The sequence below is a fragment of the Homo sapiens genome, chromosome X (genome assembly GCF_000001405.40).
Source record: "Homo sapiens chromosome X, GRCh38.p14 Primary Assembly".
NCBI lineage: Eukaryota > Metazoa > Chordata > Mammalia > Primates > Hominidae > Homo > Homo sapiens.
Genome location: NC_000023.11, coordinates 81,473,913 through 81,475,531, shown reverse-complemented (window position 1 = coordinate 81,475,531; position 1,619 = coordinate 81,473,913).

Sequence of the window (1,619 nt, the reverse complement as noted above, 5' to 3'; positions counted from 1 at the left end):
AGAAGATGGGTGATTTCTGCATTTCCAACTGAGGCACCTGGTTCGTCTCACTGGGACTGGTTGGACAGTGGGTGCAGCCCACGGAGGGCTAGCTGAAGCAGGGCGGGGCATCTTTTCACCCTGGAAGCACAAGGGGCCGGGGCATTTCCCTTTCCTAGCCAAGGGAAGCCTTGGCAGACCACCTGGAAAAACGGGACACTCCCCACCCAAATACTGTGCTTTTCTGAAGGTATTAGCAATCTGCAGACAAGGTGATTCTCTCCCCGTGCCTGGATCAGCAGGTCCCACACCCATGGAGCATTGCTCACTGATAGTGCAGCAGTCTGAGATCCATCTGTGAGTCGGCAGCCTGGCTGGGGGAGGGGCATGTGCCATTGCTGAGGCTTGAGTAGGCCAGGAAGCTCAAAATGGGCGAAGCCCACCACAGCTCAACAAGGCCTACTGCCTCTAGCCTCCACCTCTATGGTCAGGGAATAGCTGAACAAAAGGCAGCAGACAACTTCTGCAGACTTAAACGTCCCTGTCTGACAGCTGTGAAGAGAGCAGTGGTTCTCCCAGCACAGCATTTGAGCTCTGAGAAAGGACAGACTGCCCCCTCAAGTGAGTCCCTGGCCCCATGTAGCCTAACTGGGAGACACCTCCAAGAAGGGGCTGACAGACACCTCATATAGGCGGCTTCCCCTCTGGGAAGAAGCTTCCAGAGGAAGGATCAGGGAGCAATATTTGCTGTTCTGCAGCCTCCACTGGTAATACCCAGGCGAACAGGGTCTGGAGTAGAACTCCAGCAAACTCCAACAGACCTGCAGCTGAGGGACCTGTTAGAAGGAAAACTAACAAACAGAAAGGAATAGCATCAACATCAACAAAAAGGTCATCTTCACCAAAACGCCATCTGTAGGTCACCAACATCAAAGACCAAAGGTAGATAAAACCACAAAGATGGGGAGAAACCAGAGCAGAAAAGCTGAAAATTTTAAAAATCCGAGCATCTCTTCTCCTCCAAAGGATTGCAGCTCCTAGCCAGCAATGGTACAAAGCTGGACGGAGAATGACTTTGATGAGCTGACAGAAGTAGGCTTCGGAAGATAGGTAATAACAAACTTCTCTGAGCTAAAGGAGGATGTTTGAACCCATCGCAAGGAAGCTAAAAACCTTGAAAAAAAGATTAGACGAATGGCTAACTAGAATAAACACTGTAGAGAAGACCTTAAATGACCTGATGGAGCTGAAAACCATGGCACAAGAACTACGTGACACATGCACAAGCTTCAATAGCTGATTCGATCAAGTGGAAGAAAGGGTATCAGTGATTGAAGATCAGATTAATGAAATAAAGTGAGAAAACAAGGTTAGAGAAAAAAGAGTAAAATGAAACGAACATAGCCTCCAAGAAATATGGGACTATGTGAAAAGACCAAATCTACATTTGATTGGTGTACCTGAAAGTGATGGGGAGAATGGAGCCAAGTTGGAAAACACTCTGCAGTATATTATGCAGGAGAACTTCCACAACCTCGCAAGGCAGGCCAACATTCAACTTCAGGAAATACAGAGAACAACACAAAGATACTCCCTGAGAAGAGCAACCCCAAGACACATAATTGTCAGACTCACCAAGG